The sequence below is a fragment of the Homo sapiens genome, chromosome 5, assembly GCF_000001405.40.
Source record: "Homo sapiens chromosome 5, GRCh38.p14 Primary Assembly".
NCBI lineage: Eukaryota > Metazoa > Chordata > Mammalia > Primates > Hominidae > Homo > Homo sapiens.
The window spans coordinates 147,394,945-147,411,392 of record NC_000005.10 but is presented as its reverse complement, the minus strand read 5'-3'; the positions used below and the strand labels follow the sequence as shown (position 1 = coordinate 147,411,392).

The window sequence follows — 16,448 nt, the reverse complement described above, 5'->3', positions numbered from 1 at the left end:
AGCTGCAGGCTTGTGGGCAGGCAGTACCCCAGCCATGCAGGGCTCCAGCTGTTGTGATTTCAGACTCTCCATGTTGTCTTGCTGGTGGGGGAGGTGAGGTAAGTGTACAGTTTCCTCTCACCATGACCAAGGAGGCTAATTAGTCAGGACCCTGACAGCACTTTCGCCCACTTCCACCACACACCCAAAGATAATGAAATCATTTTCTTTAGAGAGCCCAAATGCCTTGGTCCCGTGGGAGGCAACCCAGTGATATTAGAACTGTACTCCTCCCTTTATCCAAGTTTTCAGGGCAGCAGCCAGAGGTCCCAGCCCTGCTTTCAGCTTCCCTGGAAACCAAACTCTCTGGCAGTTAATTCTAGCCCCTGAGGAGGCAGATGGACTTCAATCCAAAGTCTGCGTTCTCAGTTTATTTCCTCTTGTGAATCCTTAGAGTGGAAGTTTCTCTGGTTTCCCCTCCCGCTGCTATTTCCCTACCTTGGGAAGATCTGTTCTCAGTCAGGAAAAGAGTAGGGGCATTTTTCCATTTGGATGAGTTTATTGTGTGTGTTTATTAAATTCAGCTTGAGCAGAAAGATTTTTATCACATTGTTTAAATGAAGGCAGCTGCTATACTCAGAATTTCTTGCTGCACTTATTCAAAAGTGAGTATATGAGAGAGGAATCTTTGCCTTTGGGTACAAACAAGGATGATTTTCAAGAATTTCAAGTTGGCAAAACAGTCTAAGACGACAGCATCTTTAGCCATTCGTTCAACAAATATTTGTTGAGCATCTACTATACGCCAAGCCTTGGACGGGGAAGATGTAAAAGACAGGGTTCCTTTCCTCATGGACCAAGCTACAGTTGTGTCATGACCCAAACTGTGATGTAACTGTAGCTGTGATGAATGCCACAACAGGCCCACTGCTATCCCCATGTAAGGTAGCATCAGTGGGGCTTTACTGCTGTTCTTAATCTCTCAGCTATAGGGACATCATGGCTTCAGAATAGGACTTCCTAGCCTGAACAGTGCATTAGAATCACCAAATTTTTCTAATTCCAGGTATTCTGGAATTAGGAAAAGTCAGTAGCAGAGTTCAGGCAAGTGTATTTTGAAAATAATCCCCTGGTGATTTAAATGTGCTTGGAAGCCACCTCTTGAGCTTAGCTTTGTCCTGTGCATTATCCTGGTGCACTCAAACAAGACAGAAGCACAAGTGTCACCTAAGACAGAGATTCTTTAGTTGGAGACCTTAACCCTTGTGTGACTGGAGGCAATTTAGAGTAGAAACTCACTAGACTTTAGAAGAAATTTAATTCAGTTCAAGTTTCAATAAGTGAGAATGGTAAGAATGAAAAGTGGAGGTGCTTTTCTGGAAAAATAAGCCTGTAACCTTTCTTTGTTTTCTGTAGAGCTGGAGATAGTGACCATTTCACTTCTCATGGTTGCTTTTAGTATGTGCATTTTCCTTTCTACTCCTCTTTTAGAGATTTCTATTACTAAAAACAAAAAACAGAACGTTCTTTTCCAGGTGGTAAGAATCCTTACCTTTCTAAATGCCTCACAGTTTCAAAGTGAGACTAGGCTTGTTGCATTCACCATTTTTCCTATGTGTCTCACACATTACCAGAGTACTCCCAGGTCACTAGGCCAGGACTGCTGGTGCAGAGGTTCATAGGGACCAGTCTTAATAATTTCAGAGTGAATGCCAGTAACGCTGAAGAAATGGTGGCTTGGGATTTCTGCCAGTTCCAATCAGTTCATGTGTGTGTGCTCACTGCCCAGCTACCTGCTTCTTCCATAAAGAGGCTAGAAGTCTGAGGAATTTTGCCATCAACCACAAGGGACATGCACTTCTTCTGCCATGTCCACAACTTGGTTAAACAGAATTTCACCAAGACACTAACTTAGGTAATGCTGTTTGGAGGCACTATTTTGTTTCGTTAAATTTTGAATCCATTCATTTAAGCCATAGATTTAAAACATCAAAACTCCTGAGTGGCTTATTAAAATATGCATTTCTAGGATTCAACCTGACATCTTCTGATATGTTAGGCTAGGATGGGTGAGAAATCTGCATTTCTACAAAAACAATTCAGGCAATTCTGATGTAAGTGATGAGTGGCCCACACTTCGGGAAACATAGCACTAAATTATAAGCCCCGTGAGGTCAGGGGCTAACATTGCTTTAATGCAGGTACTTACCCAGAGCCTAGGAGGAAGCAGTTGCTCAATACATTTTGTTGAGTGAAATGGCTTAAAGAGCATGAGTGAATAAACAAATGAGATAAGCAAGTATAGTTTCAGAGGCAGCTGAGACTGAGAGAGATGAACAATAAGTGACCTGGTATGATTCTTGAAGGGCAGTATAGACAAAAAATAGTCTAACAGACAACTATCTTTCTTCTAATAAAAACAAATCACCCTTGAATGTTTTTTCTTTTTATCCTTTTAGTTGAGTCTACCCTATATTGCAACTCCAAATATAGGATTAATACATCTGTTCAACATACGCATATTTATTCTTTAGATCTTTAGATCAGAACATACCAGCGTAATTTTTCCAAATCTCACTTGAGCTTATTGAAGAACTATTTTCTTTTTTCATTTCAGGAGCAAACCCGCATGTTGGAAATGGGGATAACTGGCCCAGAAGGCCATGTACTGAGCAGGCCAGAAGAGGTAAGTTACAGGGGATGAAGGTGCACACACAACGCATGAATAAACATTGTTAAAAGGCGACGAGAATGTGAGTACCAGGTTGCAGTATTGGAACATTTCTTCCAAAGACCACTTCTGATTGACTCTAACTCAGGAGCCCGTGAGAAAATTAGAAAGGAATGTAAGAGACATGCTTATTTCTGACCCCTAATCTCCCTACAGATAACACAAGTTGGAGTGTCCTTCACAGCTATTCAGGAGTGTTAAATTTCTAATCCCTTTCTTAAGGAAATCTCAGTGTGAATCTCATAGACATTTCCACTTATTCCCTTATTTCGAGTCCTGCAAAATATTGGCATATAGATAAGATGTTGAATGGGTTTTTTATATACATTATACTCATCAATTTGTATAAGGTGATGATTATGTCCAGGTATGGAAGTTTCTCATATATAAAATGAATGCTTATTTATGTCTGTACTTAGCAGCCAAACAACAAATCAAAGGTGACTAGAGGCTGGTTCCATGTCTCCGAGATGTCAGCAGCTTCACCTACTGGCACGGAGCACAGAGCTGGGAATTGGCTGCCCATGTACCTGAAAGCACATTGGCTTTGGAAGGGCAGCCTGGGTCTAGCACCTAGAGCAAAGTCAAGGCCCTCCATATCAGTGAAGCGAGTCCTGTTTCTGTCCTGTCATTCCAAACCCTACAACAGGGAGAAGAAGGAATCATAACCAGAAATGATTCCCATATCCTGTCTCTTTTAGAGTCTTATTTAAAATATAAATAGAACACATATAGAAAAAAATGTTTCTATCCTAAGGAGGCAATGAATTTTCACAAACCAGATACACTTAGCTAGTGTTACACTAGTTATACTAGTATAACTAGCACCCATAGAAGGAAACAGATTATCAGCACCTCAGAAACTCCTTTGTATCTAGTGATATTTTTATTGCCATTTAAATAATTTATAATTTTGTGATTAGGGTTCCAGTCACATACAGCATCCCTGAAGTCTGTCTCCTTAATAATACTAGGTCACTTCTATGGAATGCATTCATCTGGTATGTGCTGATTGCATACGTTATCTCAGTTCTCGCTGCCGCTGCTCTGTGTGGTTGGCATTGTTGCGCAGGTAAAGAAGCTGAAGCTCAGAGAGGTTAAGCCCCTGGCTGATCACACTTGAAGGACTGGAAAATGGTTTACTCATCGTGAAGAGACCAGGGTAATCAGCATTGTTTTTGAAGTTTTTCTTAAATGCTGGTCACTGTGGAGATGTGCTGGCAAGACGGATTTCCAGCAGCAGCCAGGGGATTTCAGAGCAAAGTCTATTTTTGTTCCTTGGTTTGTTTTTTCAACCTCCCCTTAGCCTTACCACCCCACCCTCCTCCTTATTCCTGTCTCCTTTTTAGTAAAAAAGCCTCTCAGCCGCAAACCTCTATAGCCGTGGAAGGCCATTTGGGTGAAGTTGGAGGGTGATGTAACCTTCCAAAGATAGTCATGTTGTCAAAGTGCTGAAAAACCTGTAGTGCTTGGGAGGAATGAGATCAAAGGGACCAGGACAGAGGTCCTGGGGGAGCTGAAGTGGTCAGCATGGGTGTGAAGTGGGAGGAGTGATCATAGGAGGAGCCAGCCCCTGTTCAATTCAAGCATACCCAGACACCACCTCAAGTGATGCTGTTCAGAGAGCTGGGACCCCAGGCATAGAGACAGCCGCTCCAGAGTACAAAATTCTGGGTGCTTCAGGAAGGTGTCCATATTCACATATGACCAGGGGCCTCCAAGGTCCCATCCACATGCAATAAAGTGCAGCTTGGGGGAGGCCAGCTCAGCCAGCCAAGTTCTTAGGTCTGTCTGCTGAGCTACACCCACAATGGACAGTGACTGGTTTGCATTATACAGCCATTGGGCATCTGCAAGCTATTTTTGGTATTTTTTTTAAGTGTTGGGCTCCACAGGCTAACCAGAATGTCATATCCATAAAAAAATGAAGTGTTGCCAATTGAATGGAAGAATGTCAAAGTCTCTGCTCTGTGCTGAATTGGACTAACTTACACAAGTTGAGAGTAGACCACTTGAGAGTAACACAGACCCTCAACTGGTTAGAAAATATTATCAACAATAATATCAGTAGCCAACCCTCAAGGGGCACTTACCTTGTTTCCCCATTAGGAATGAGCTAACTGCTTTATAAGGATGAACTCATTTAATCCTCACCACAGCCCAACATGTCAGATCCTATTATCCTCAATTTACAGACAAGGAAACTGAGGCTTTGGGAGGTTGTGCAATGTACCCGAGGTCACCTAGCTTATAAGTGTCAGAACCAGGACTCAGAACCAGGCCATCTGAGAGAGCCTCAGCTCTCAGACCCTGCTTTGTTAATAAAATAAGGGAAAACTTCTAATTTCTTAATAAATGCCACTGGGTTGGTTAGCATATTTGAAAACATGAATTCTACATTAGGGTAAGATGGGAGAGATCAATTATAAAACAAGTCTTTGTGTTGAGAAACCTGGGAATTATTTTCGTAAGAAATGCCTCCTAAAATTAACCCTTTGCTGACCACTTACTGCTGCAGGAAAGGATTTGAGGAACCATGATGCCTAACTGCCTTGGCTGGTTATTTTAGACATAATGGTTTGCTATTGTGTTTGCCCAGAGATTCTGTCCTGAGAAGATTGAGGAGCAAAGGCTTTCATTCAGATGTCACCTTTGTGATAACCACAGAGGCTAAGGAAAAAGTACTTACCCTCTGCCAGACATTGCTCTCAGATGACAATGCTGTGCTATACTATTTTACTAGTGAGGGATAGAGGCACTGGGAAGCTGAGTAAAGTGACACAGTTAGGAAGTGGTAGATCTGAGATGTGGATATAGGCTATCTAATTCCAGATCCTGCCAAAATTATCCATAACCTTTGTGCAGCACTGCATCCTCACAGTTCGTGGAGGTGGGAGCCACCAGTTTGAGAGGTTCATGTTTCTATTGACTCCTGGAGACTTTTTCTTGCAGCTGGAAGCTGAGGCTGTGTTCCGTGCCATCACCATTGCCAGCCAAACCAATTGCCCTCTCTACGTCACAAAGGTCATGAGCAAGAGTGCAGCTGACCTCATCTCACAAGCCAGGAAAAAAGGTGATTTGTGTTTCCAAGATCTCGGAGCCCCTGATGGCACTGTGTGGCTCCTTCCCTCTCTGGTTGTCCTGTGTAATATAAATGGTGCCTACTTTGCTCATTGCCTTGCTCCCTAGGAAGCCGCTCTCCACATCCTGTGTGGATGGGAGGATCCTGGGATTTCTCCCACTTGGCATTTAAGTAAACTGAGGCTCAGGAAGGTTAGATGAGTTGTCCAAGATGACACAGCTTGAACCAGTTCTTCTGAGACTTTGTGCATCTTACTTCTCCCCTTGATCTTTGATTTTCAGTTCACCTTGTCTGAGTTTTATAAACGGACATATCAGTCAGGATTAAATTGGGTGCAAAATTCAAAGATCCTGCTCAAACTGGCTTAAACAAACACAAGTGAATAACCGATTGTAGGTGTTTCAGGTATGGCTAGATTGAGGGGCCTCAACAATGGTATTAGGTGTTTGTCACGCTTACTCCTTTCTTGGCTCTCTTTCCTCTGTTTGGTTTATGTTCAGTATGAACAGTTACAGAATAGATGCTGAGAGGCCCCTGTTGTCCTCAATTTTTGGCAGAGAGCATGATGGGAAAGTAAAATACACCTTTTCCAGCAGGTCAAGCAAAAGTCCCTAGGAGCACTGTGACTGGTCTGGCTTGGGTCATGTGCTCATCCCTGGACCAGTAAACACCCCGGGGATGATATAATCTGGCCAGGATTGAGGCCACAGTGCAGATGCAGGTCACACCTCCTGAGCCACTGAGACTAACACAAGTTATTTTAGAGAAGGGGTTGAGTGGGTCTCCAAAGCATATTGGCCACCATGGCCTTCATGACCCTGGCTGTGTCCCTGCTCCCTGTTGACTTCTGCTTCTTTTCTCCACTGGTGTTAACTTGGGCTTCCTTTGCTTGCCTTGTGCTTAGCTAAAGTTTTCAGAGCTTTCTTTTCTGTTTCTGGTTCTCATCCTCAGTGTCAGACTCGTGGGCTCAGTTGTGAGGCTGGGTAAGGGACGAGTGCAGGTGAGAAGCTGCAGATGTGTGGCTCTGTGTTGGGTTGTGAGAGGATTTACCAGGCCCAGTGATGTGGTTGCTACTGCTGCGTGCCAGTGGCCATTCTGGTAGTAGAGAGGCCCAACATGGGTGATTCATCTACCAAACTGGCCTGTGAAACTCCACGTGTGAGTGATTGCAGTAGCTAAAAATAGTCTCAGCTGACGCTGATGGCTGAGTGTTCAGATGCCTGGCCTTCTGGCACAGGGTGACCCTATTTTTCTTACAAGAGGGGAGGCTTTCACATTGTCTAGACACTCTTCCTAGCTGACAGATTCTGGGGCACCTCCTTCCTTCCTCTGTTCTTCGTAGGCCTGCTGTTTTCTCCTTAGCTTTTAGAAGTTTCAACTGACATGGAGTGGTTGCTCCACTGGGTATGAGTCATTGGGCGAGAACCAGGAAAGCAGCCCAGTGCTCCTCACTCATTCTTGGAGAAAAGCAAAGAAAAGAAAAAGAAGAAGTGTGTAGGAACTCCTTGTGCCCTCACCCAGTGCCGCACACACACACCCCTGCCAACTGTGACCACCCACCGCCCTCATGCCCTCTGCTGAGGCTGCATTCTGCCCGGGACCCATTCTTAGGGTGACCTAGGGCCGCTCGGGACAGGGTGTTTTAGTTATATGCTGGTCTTATTTTAAACTTCATGGACAAAAATTCCTAACCCTGAGCCTTTTGGCACATAATTCTCTGGCGAGCAGAACTAGTACAGCTGTGTCTCCGGGGTGGAATGGGGGTATTATTTCAGGGATGAAAAACTGGCTGCTGAGATTGAAGTCAGTAAACAACTCATGGACCGTCATTCTCAGGGAAACACCCAAGAGCATTCTTTGCAAGACAAAGTGTAGCAGGGTTTGCACTTCCCTCCTGAGCAGGATATGGTTGAAGTCTCAGTGTGTTTAGTCACCAATCATCAGGGCTCTTTAACTATATGGCTGCTCAGAATTAATATTAGAAAGCTACAATTTAATGAGGAACAGCTATGTGCCCTGCACTGACATAAATACTTTAATTTTTTTATTGTGTAGAATTCTCAAAGAACTCTGAGAAATAGGCATTTCTCAGAAATGCCTTTTTTCAGATGAAATTGCAGCACAACTTGTCCAGGATCTCCCAGCTGGGAGAGCTGGTATTCAAATCTAGGTGTAATTACTATCTTAGCTTCTTTTACTCTTCCATGCTAAACATAGTCCAGAGGGAGATTTCTTCCACTTTTAAGATTCTATTTCTTTCAATAGTAGTTGAGTGCTTGCTGTGACTTTCATTTCTTCATATCTTTATGGTCCTGTATCCTTTAGTGTGTAAGTATTTTTGGAGAGCCCTTGAATTCTCATCACTTGGATTTTTTTTTACTCTCACCCCCAAAAGCAGGGCTGTCCAATGTGAATCATTGCCATCGCTTCCTTCTTTTGCCTATGGCAGACATTACTAATTAATCATGAGTCTTTTCTACTGAGACCCCGCGCATTATTAGAATTTTTCCCTTCATGGAATTCTAGGCAACTATTACCAGTTGAATGGAGTTGAAACAAGGCAAAATCTATTTGTGATCCTGGCCATAGAGTGCAAACTTGTGGAGAATTTAACTGTGGAAGTTGGAGGACCAAAGTTAAAGAAGTGCAGGGCTGTATAGGGTAGCTTTGGCCCCAGATTTTGGCATAGAGAAACTTGGTACCAACCACCTAGCTATGAGCTAGCATTTGCTTTCTATATCACTATTCCTTCTTCTTAAAGAAGCTAAACAGCTTAGATCAGTGTATATTCCAATAGCCTTTATCCCCTCTCCATGGTTTGGGTAGTTAGGCCTCTAATTTTTGAGGCAGAATCCAAGAAGCTAGTCTCATATTTGATGTGTCCTAGGTTATTGGGTGACTTTTACCAAGTCATCATGTTAGGAGTAACAAACATGATAAAAAAAAAAGTCATAGGCCGGGCGCGGTGGCTCACGCCTGTAATCCCAGCACTTTGGGAGGCCGAGGCGGGCGGATCACGAGGTCAGGAGATCAAGACCATCCTGGCTAACACGGTGAAACCCCGTCTCTACTAAAAATACAAAAAATTAGCCGGGCGTGGTGGCGGGCGCCTGTAGTCCCAGCTACTCGGGAGGCTGAGGCAGGAGAATGGCGTGAACCCGGGAGGCGGAGCTTGCAGTGAGCCGAGATCGCGCCACTGCACTCCAGCCTGGGCGACAGAGCGAGACTCCGTCTCAAAAAAAAAAAGAAAAAAAAAAAAGTCATGAGAGTCTCTAATCCACAGGAATGGATTTTACTTTGTGGAACCAAAGCATATCATTATAATGGGAGCATCTAGCAATTCCCAGTGGTGGGTGCACATTTGGGACTTTGGGCCCCTACTGTGGGAAGGCATAACAGGTAAAGAAAGCGATATTTACCAAACATCCTCTAGGTGCCAGATGCTTCACGTATGCCATATCTTTTCATTTTCACAAGCCTAAGAAGTAGACATCATCTTGTTTCATCAATTTCAGAATATATCTATTTCAGCCTTGGTATACATGGAACCCATTACTAGAGCAAGAACTGGAGCATTTTAGTATTTCTGAAATGAGGATGAATCTTGAAATCAATATGTATATTTTATTTTCTTTTGCCTCAAATTTTAATTTGCCTCAAAATTTGAGAATTAACACTGCATCTAACAACCAATGGCTTCTTTTAATCTAGAGAATACAAACTTGGTCACATTTAGCAGATAGGAAAGCAGGGGCTTTAAAAAGGTGGGAACATGGACTTGAACCCAGGTCAGTCTGACTCTGAGACACAGTCCTGGGTAGGCTTAGGAGCTAAATTAAATAGGCTTGGCCCAGTGCAGCATATACTTTATGCTAACCCCTTGTCTGTTTCCTGCCCCTTCTAGGAAATGTAGTCTTTGGTGAGCCCATCACTGCCAGCCTCGGCATAGATGGAACCCATTATTGGAGCAAGAACTGGGCCAAGGCGGCTGCATTTGTGACATCCCCACCCCTGAGCCCTGACCCAACTACTCCGGACTACATCAACTCCTTGCTGGCCAGGTTGGTGCAGGAATGCCCAGCAGCAGGCGTTTTGTGAAAACATCTCTTGAGTCCAGCTGGGGGTTGAGGACAGGAGCAGTCCCATCTATAAACTTGACCAGAGTCTGCAGTGTGAACAGTGTATTGGGAATTCTTTTACAGTCTTGAGCGTAGAAAGCAGGCTCTTCCCCATCCTGTTTTAAACATTAATACAGTCATAATATTAATAATGGTAATAGTAGTTAAAACCTATTATGTACCAAGCTCTATGGTAAGACTACACTCACAATCTCATTTATTTCTCCTAACAACTTTATGAGTGAGGCACTCTTATCAGCATTTACATATTAAGCAACTGAAGGTCAGAGAAGCTAAATCATTTGCCTAAGTTCAAATAGTTGGTCATGATGACAATCAAAATTATAGGGAGACTCCTTTGTTGCTGCCCTCTGCAGACATATAGGATCATGACATTGCTCATTTGAGTACATTTTATTTTGCTACAAAAGAGATGAGCTAATCCCACCCCCTCACTTTCTAGATGGGGTAACTGAGCCCAGGGAGGGGAAGAAACTCATCCAAGCTCATATATCTAGTAAGAGGTAGAGGAGGCATTCCAAACCCAAATAGTCAGAGTGCAAACCCTCACAGTAAACACAAGACTCTAAGCTCCCAGTGTGCCTCCAGCCATCTCCCCTGTTCATGTGGAGCTTTTCTCCTTTGCCAGCGGGGATCTGCAGCTATCTGGGAGTGCCCACTGCACCTTCAGCACTGCCCAGAAAGCAATTGGGAAGGACAACTTCACAGCCATTCCTGAGGGCACCAATGGTGTGGAGGAGCGGATGTCTGTCATCTGGGACAAGGCTGTGGTAAGGCATGGAGGTCATGGGAGGGTGGCCAGAGCCAAAACATCCATGGGCCAGATCAGAACCTCCTGCCACCAGTTGGGCTGGTGACACTGCGAGTGCAGATGGGATCTCGTACTTGCTGAGATGTCTCTGGAACCATGTGGCTCTGGCAGTGTGGAAAATTTCCTTCTAGTGTGATGAATCCTAAGGCCTAGCATTCTGAAGGAGGCTTCCTTATCTAGACTGTTAGGACTAGGAACCAGACATGCAACTCCTTCATCTGAGTGTACGAATAGCCTGTACTTAAAATAATAGTGAGTTAATTCTTTTTGTTTGGATAGTTTTATGACTTCTTTTGAAAGAACTGGATATAATCCTTTGAAATGATAAGCAATGAGTCTGTGTCTAGACCAAAGTCATCTTGCTTATCAAGGACGCCCTGTACTGAGGGCATGTGGTCATTCAGGCGATACAAGTGATTGTCTCTAAATGTCTTCTGGCAAGTGGCCTGTTTTATTTTCCTTGTTCACATCACAAGGACTGACGAAAGAAATAGCCATTCAAATTAAGACTCTTTCAAAGATTTTAGTAAAATCAATAATTATCTCATTATTAAGTTGATTACTGCTCTATGTTTCATTTCAAAAATCCTAAAAACATTCTTATCAAAGTTATGTATACTAAAGCCTCATTAATCTACACAGTGTAATTTCACTGAGTTTTCTTTTTCTTCTTTGCTCCCAGGAAGCTCAGAGCTAGGTTTTAAACTCAATTCTTTCCGTAAAGAGGCTTTTTGGTTTGAAAAGAGGGAAAATATAAATATTGTTGTCTGTTCTCTCACATAGTGTTTCCTTTTTCATATACTGCAGAGCAGTACGTATGTATTTATCCTGGCACTATTTGGAATAGTTCCAAGATAATATATATTTTTAAATTACCAACATGACACATGCTCAGTAAAGAATATTTGGAAACTACAGACAAGCACACACTTGAAAGAAAACAAAAATATCTCAATTCCACAACCCAGGGAACCCATTGTTATCATTTGGGTAAGGTTCTTTTGTATTTATTCTATGCATACAACATATGCAAACACAAATACATATCTAAAGGATGGGATTATAATCACATTTGTTTTTACTGTGAACTCTCCATAATCCTTTTTGAAATTAGAAGAAGAAAATGAGTAAGTAAATGTAAGAACATATAGAAAAAAATGCATACTTCAGGGGCAGTAACTTCTATCTTAAACCATGTGTTTGACCATTTTACCTGAGTAGTCACGACAGCCCAGCTAATTCGAGCTTGCTGAGTGAGGTTCTGTAGCTCACCAGCTTTTCAGGTGGCTCCTTTTTGTATTTCTATGCCTTTGTGGGTTGTCTTTCTCTGAGTTCAGAAGCCCTGAATTGATATATATGTAGCTATAGATATAGATATAATTTCTTATATTTCAATAGGCCACAGGGAAAATGGACGAAAACCAGTTCGTGGCTGTGACAAGCACAAACGCTGCCAAGATCTTCAACCTGTATCCCCGCAAGGGAAGAATATCTGTGGGTTCTGACAGCGACCTCGTCATCTGGGATCCAGATGCTGTGAAGATCGTCTCTGCCAAGAACCACCAGTCTGTAAGGCCCGCTCTGGTGGGAGTGGAGTAGAATGGAGAATGCATGCAAGGAACTTGGTCAGGAGAAATGTGTTTATGTGGTGTGCCAGGGTAGTTAGACTAGGACGGGTTGCAATAATAATCCATCCCCTAAATCTCAGTGGCTCAAAACCTCAACTGTGTTTCTCCTGCTTTCCAAAGCAGATGGGCTCTGCCCATTCCAGTCACTCAGGGACAGAGGCCAATAGAGGCTTCCTCTCTACATATGTTTTCATGATTGCTGAGACAGGGGAACATGACCTGGTGAATGGTCTACTGGCTCTGAAAGCTTCCCCTAGATGTGGTGTACGTCACTGCCTCTCACATGGCACTGGTCTTAGCCAGTCCTGTGGCTATACCTAACTTCCGGAAGTCAGGGCGTGCAATGATCCTTTGTGCCTGGAAAGGGAAAGAATAGGAAATAACTGGTAAACAGCAGTGATGACTTCTTCACGATGAGTTTCACATGGAGGATGATAATTAAAGTGCAGTACCTAACAGAAACGGGCTCGACACTGTTGTTAAAAATAGTTAATATTTTTAAGCACTTATGTTTCAGGCACTGTGCTTTGAATTCACTGGATTTCCATAGTAGTCTTCTACAGGTAGGGACTATTATCCTCCGTTTTATAGATTAAAAATTGGAGGTACAGAAAAATTAAATAATTTGTGCAGCAAGCGAATGGTGAAGCTAGCATTGAAACCCAGACAAGCTGACTCTAAACTGATGTTCTTAATTATTGGCAGTACAGTAATGCCTCTTGCTGATTGAGTAAATGAAGGAGGTAGGGAGAAATCCCATTTTTGGTGGCAATGGCCTTTGCTTAAATATTGTGTCATCTCATGTTATTTAATTTGGAGCTAGAGGGACCTAAAGGCCACATAACCTCTCTGCCCACCTGCTCAATACAAGACAGTGATGTACAGCATCCTGGATAGTTATCCAGCTTCTCTTTGAACACTACCCAAGACAAAAGTTGACTTCCACTTGAGGACCTTATTAAAGACCGGACACTTCTTTTTGCTAGGAAGTTTAGTCTTGTCTTAGTAAATCTGTCTCCGGTGCCTTCTACCCACTGGATGCTTGCAGATGCATGGTGAGCTTTTCCTGGCTTACCTGGTGAATCAGCAGCAAATGACACTGAAGGTCTCAAGGAGAGAAGGTACGTTCCTCTTTCTCTACCCTTACTGTGGCTTTGCTTCTCACCCCTGCCTCTAGGCGGCAGAGTACAACATCTTTGAAGGGATGGAGCTGCGCGGGGCTCCTCTGGTTGTCATCTGCCAGGGCAAGATCATGCTGGAAGATGGCAACCTGCACGTGACCCAGGGGGCTGGCCGCTTCATACCCTGCAGCCCGTTCTCCGACTATGTCTACAAGCGCATTAAAGCACGGAGGAAGGTAAAAAGCATTGGAGCTCTGAGGTGGTGCAGGAGCTTTGTGTTCCACTCACGCTCAGAGATAGTAACCATGAACACAGGGCACTGTGATCTCTAGACTCTCACAGAGAAATTCAGTGACAGTCTTGTCCCCAAGAACAACTACACAGACTTAATGTACTATTAAAGAGGGTGTTGAAAATTTTTGTTCAAAGAGAGCTTTTTTTCCCAAATGACTTTTCCCACATTTTTATAGTACTTTATTAAAAATAATTTAAATTCGAATAATTCAAAATAAGGCCAGTGTATTTTTTTAAAAAATAAATGACTCTTCAAGTCTGAAGGTGAGAACCGAGAATCCACACCGACACATCCCTGTGTCATTCTGTCCAGTGCTGCTCCACAGGGGCAAACACTTATAACATTTTAGCTACTGTATTTTCAATAAAACTTTATTTCTCTGATTTTATATATAAACACACACAGAGATATGTGTGTATATATATATATATAGGTCTATAGATACATACATGTGTGCAAATGTATGCATGCGTATAAAAAATGGAGGTGCAGAGAAATTAAATATATATTTACAATATATGTATTATATTTATATATACTTAATATATAAATATAGAATAATATATAAATATATAAATAAACATTTATATATTTATATTGTATTGTGTATTGTATTATAACAATACAATAAATATAATTAAAAACAAAAATGCGTATAAATAAATATATTCACATATTTATATTTATTGTATTTATTGTATTATACTTTCTATACACACACTATATATATATATATATATACACACATATACAGATATACGTATATATATGTGTTTGTATATATATGTGTATTAGCCCTACCCTAGGATTGTGGAATTTGAGCTCCACACTCCAGTTTGGGCCTAATAGAGAAGGAGACTTCCCCAATATTGACCCTTTATTTCTATGAGTGTGATTTAGATTCTGAAACCAGGGAAGTGTTGATGATGTAGAGTTCTTGGTTTTGGGGAGTACAGATACAGTCATCACATCACTAGAATCATTAGCATCTGCACATTTGATGGGCTCGGCTTCTGTGCTGGCATTTGAGTCACTAACAGGGAAGGAGGCTCTGACAGGACTTCTTGTGATGATCCATCCTGCACGGTCAGGCTCCTCTGGCAGCGCGTCCTCATTGCCTCCCCTCTGGCCAAAGTTAAGAAATGGGTGGAGGTTGTGTGCCGCTGCCATGGGTGGTCTTGCAGTGTTTGTCCAGTTGACTGTAAGCCCCTTTGCAGGAGGTACCGTGTTTCCCATGGCCAAAGGCCCTAGTGCCTGGCACAAGGCCTAGCAGAGCATGTGCTGGGTGGAAGTTGCTGGCTGGCTCCACAGTCCCAGGGCAAGTTCACAGCCACAGACAGAGGTCAGTGGGTCAGACCACAGACACTCACTTCAAGGCCTGCCCACCCTGGTGTGTGCTGAAGAGTGTGAGGGTGGAGCTCCCATGTGATCCCATCCTGGCCAGGACCTGCGACCTCGTGTCATGACCTACCCTTCCTATCCCTCTGCTCCAGCTGTACTGCTGTTCTTCTATTTCATAATCACTCCCACTTCAGCTGTCTGCCCTTGCTCTTCTCTTTGCTGGCTTCTCTGTCATCCACACCACTCCCCGGTATCCCTCCAACCTCCTCCCTCTGGCAACCCCAACCCCATAGCAACGTCCTTTGATCCTTCTGATCGAAGCTCATCTATTTAGAAGGGCCTTCACTGACCACATCCATTGTCACTCTATCATCACATCCTCCTTTATTTATTTTATACTACTTCTCCCTTCCTCAAATTATCTTTATTATTGTTAATTCCTAGCTCCCACCACACACTGTATTCACTAATATATTTATGATACCTAGAACAGACCCTAAAATGCTGAATGAATGAATGGTGACATGCTCTTCTCTGGCTGCAGATGGCAGACCTGCATGCCGTCCCAAGGGGCATGTACGATGGGCCTGTGTTTGACCTGACCACCACCCCCAAAGGTGGCACCCCCGCAGGCTCTGCTCGGGGCTCTCCTACTCGGCCGAACCCACCTGTGAGGAATCTTCATCAGTCGGGATTTAGCCTGTCAGGTGAGTGGGACAGGCTCATCAAAAGATAAGAGAAGGGGGAAGGGGAAGATCAATGTTCTGAGGCCACAGGGTGTTCCTCAGAACTCAACCTGAAGGAGTTTTCCAGCCTAGCACTGGTGTCAACTTTAGGGAGAAGGTTACTGGGGCAAGCAGGAAGGGTCCCTGAATTGACAAGGGGTCCTGGTAAGAAAGTAAGACAAGGCAGTCAGGCCGAAGACCAGGTTTAAGTGGTAACTGATTCTGCCTAGAGATCAGCCCTGGTTGGGGGCAGGGTCGGGGAGCTGGTCCCCTCTATGAATTGATAGTGATTTCCAGCATTAGCCTATGAGCGCTATGCAACATAGTATGTTTTCTTTATTTGTCCAGATTAAAAGATAGCTTAAATTATTTTTATGCTCAAATTGCAGTAGCGTCTTCTAACCTAGGATTTTTATTATATTCTCCCATTCCTAGTAATTATAATAATGCTAACACTAGCTACCACTGATTGAACATCTACTATGTGTTAGCCATGTGATTAGTCTTACCTATTCTTTACGAACTCTCTGATATAATTAGAAAATAATCATTCAGTTGCTCCATAACCAGTAGTCTTAAAATGGAGAAAAATAAAT

General features: G+C 43.1%; 2 protein-coding genes across 4 annotated transcripts in view, besides 2 other annotated features; one reads left to right on the top strand and one right to left on the bottom strand.

The window, feature by feature from the left end:
* The window catches only part of DPYSL3 (dihydropyrimidinase like 3), a 119,261-nt gene that overhangs the window by 98,676 nt on the left and 4,137 nt on the right, over nucleotides 1-16,448 (top strand). For all 3 annotated transcript variants that reach the window (NM_001197294.2, NM_001387.3, XM_011537574.3), the window contains exons 7-13: nucleotides 2,597-2,665; nucleotides 5,663-5,783; nucleotides 9,697-9,853; nucleotides 10,560-10,701; nucleotides 12,141-12,311; nucleotides 13,548-13,727; nucleotides 15,672-15,834. In NM_001197294.2, coding sequence (NP_001184223.1) covers nucleotides 2,597-2,665; nucleotides 5,663-5,783; nucleotides 9,697-9,853; nucleotides 10,560-10,701; nucleotides 12,141-12,311; nucleotides 13,548-13,727; nucleotides 15,672-15,834 — 1,003 coding nt within the window. The remainder of the gene's footprint in view (nucleotides 1-2,596; nucleotides 2,666-5,662; nucleotides 5,784-9,696; nucleotides 9,854-10,559; nucleotides 10,702-12,140; nucleotides 12,312-13,547; nucleotides 13,728-15,671; nucleotides 15,835-16,448) is intronic.
* Nucleotides 2,176-2,345: an enhancer, noted in NCBI's record as "experimental_81891 CRE fragment used in MPRA reporter constructs". NCBI's record gives its function as "activates a minimal promoter by MPRAs in K562 erythroleukemia cells, with activity observed for the non-introgressed 5:146788696 or rs1432857 variant allele {active_cell/tissue: K562}" and the evidence as "EXISTENCE:reporter gene assay evidence [ECO:0000049][PMID:34662402]".
* Nucleotide 2,260: a transcriptional cis regulatory region, noted in NCBI's record as "Neanderthal adaptively introgressed variant 5:146788696 (GRCh37/hg19 assembly coordinates) or rs1432857 in the experimental_81891 CRE". NCBI's record gives its function as "modulates activity of the experimental_81891 enhancer by MPRAs in K562 erythroleukemia cells {active_cell/tissue: K562}" and the evidence as "EXISTENCE:reporter gene assay evidence [ECO:0000049][PMID:34662402]".
* STK32A (serine/threonine kinase 32A) overlaps nucleotides 9,403-16,448 on the bottom strand; it is a 166,965-nt gene continuing 159,919 nt past the window's right edge. Inside the window, exon 14 of the mRNA XM_011537577.3 lies at nucleotides 9,403-10,026. Coding sequence (XP_011535879.1) covers nucleotides 9,989-10,026 — 38 coding nt within the window. The 3' untranslated portion in view covers nucleotides 9,403-9,988. The remainder of the gene's footprint in view (nucleotides 10,027-16,448) is intronic.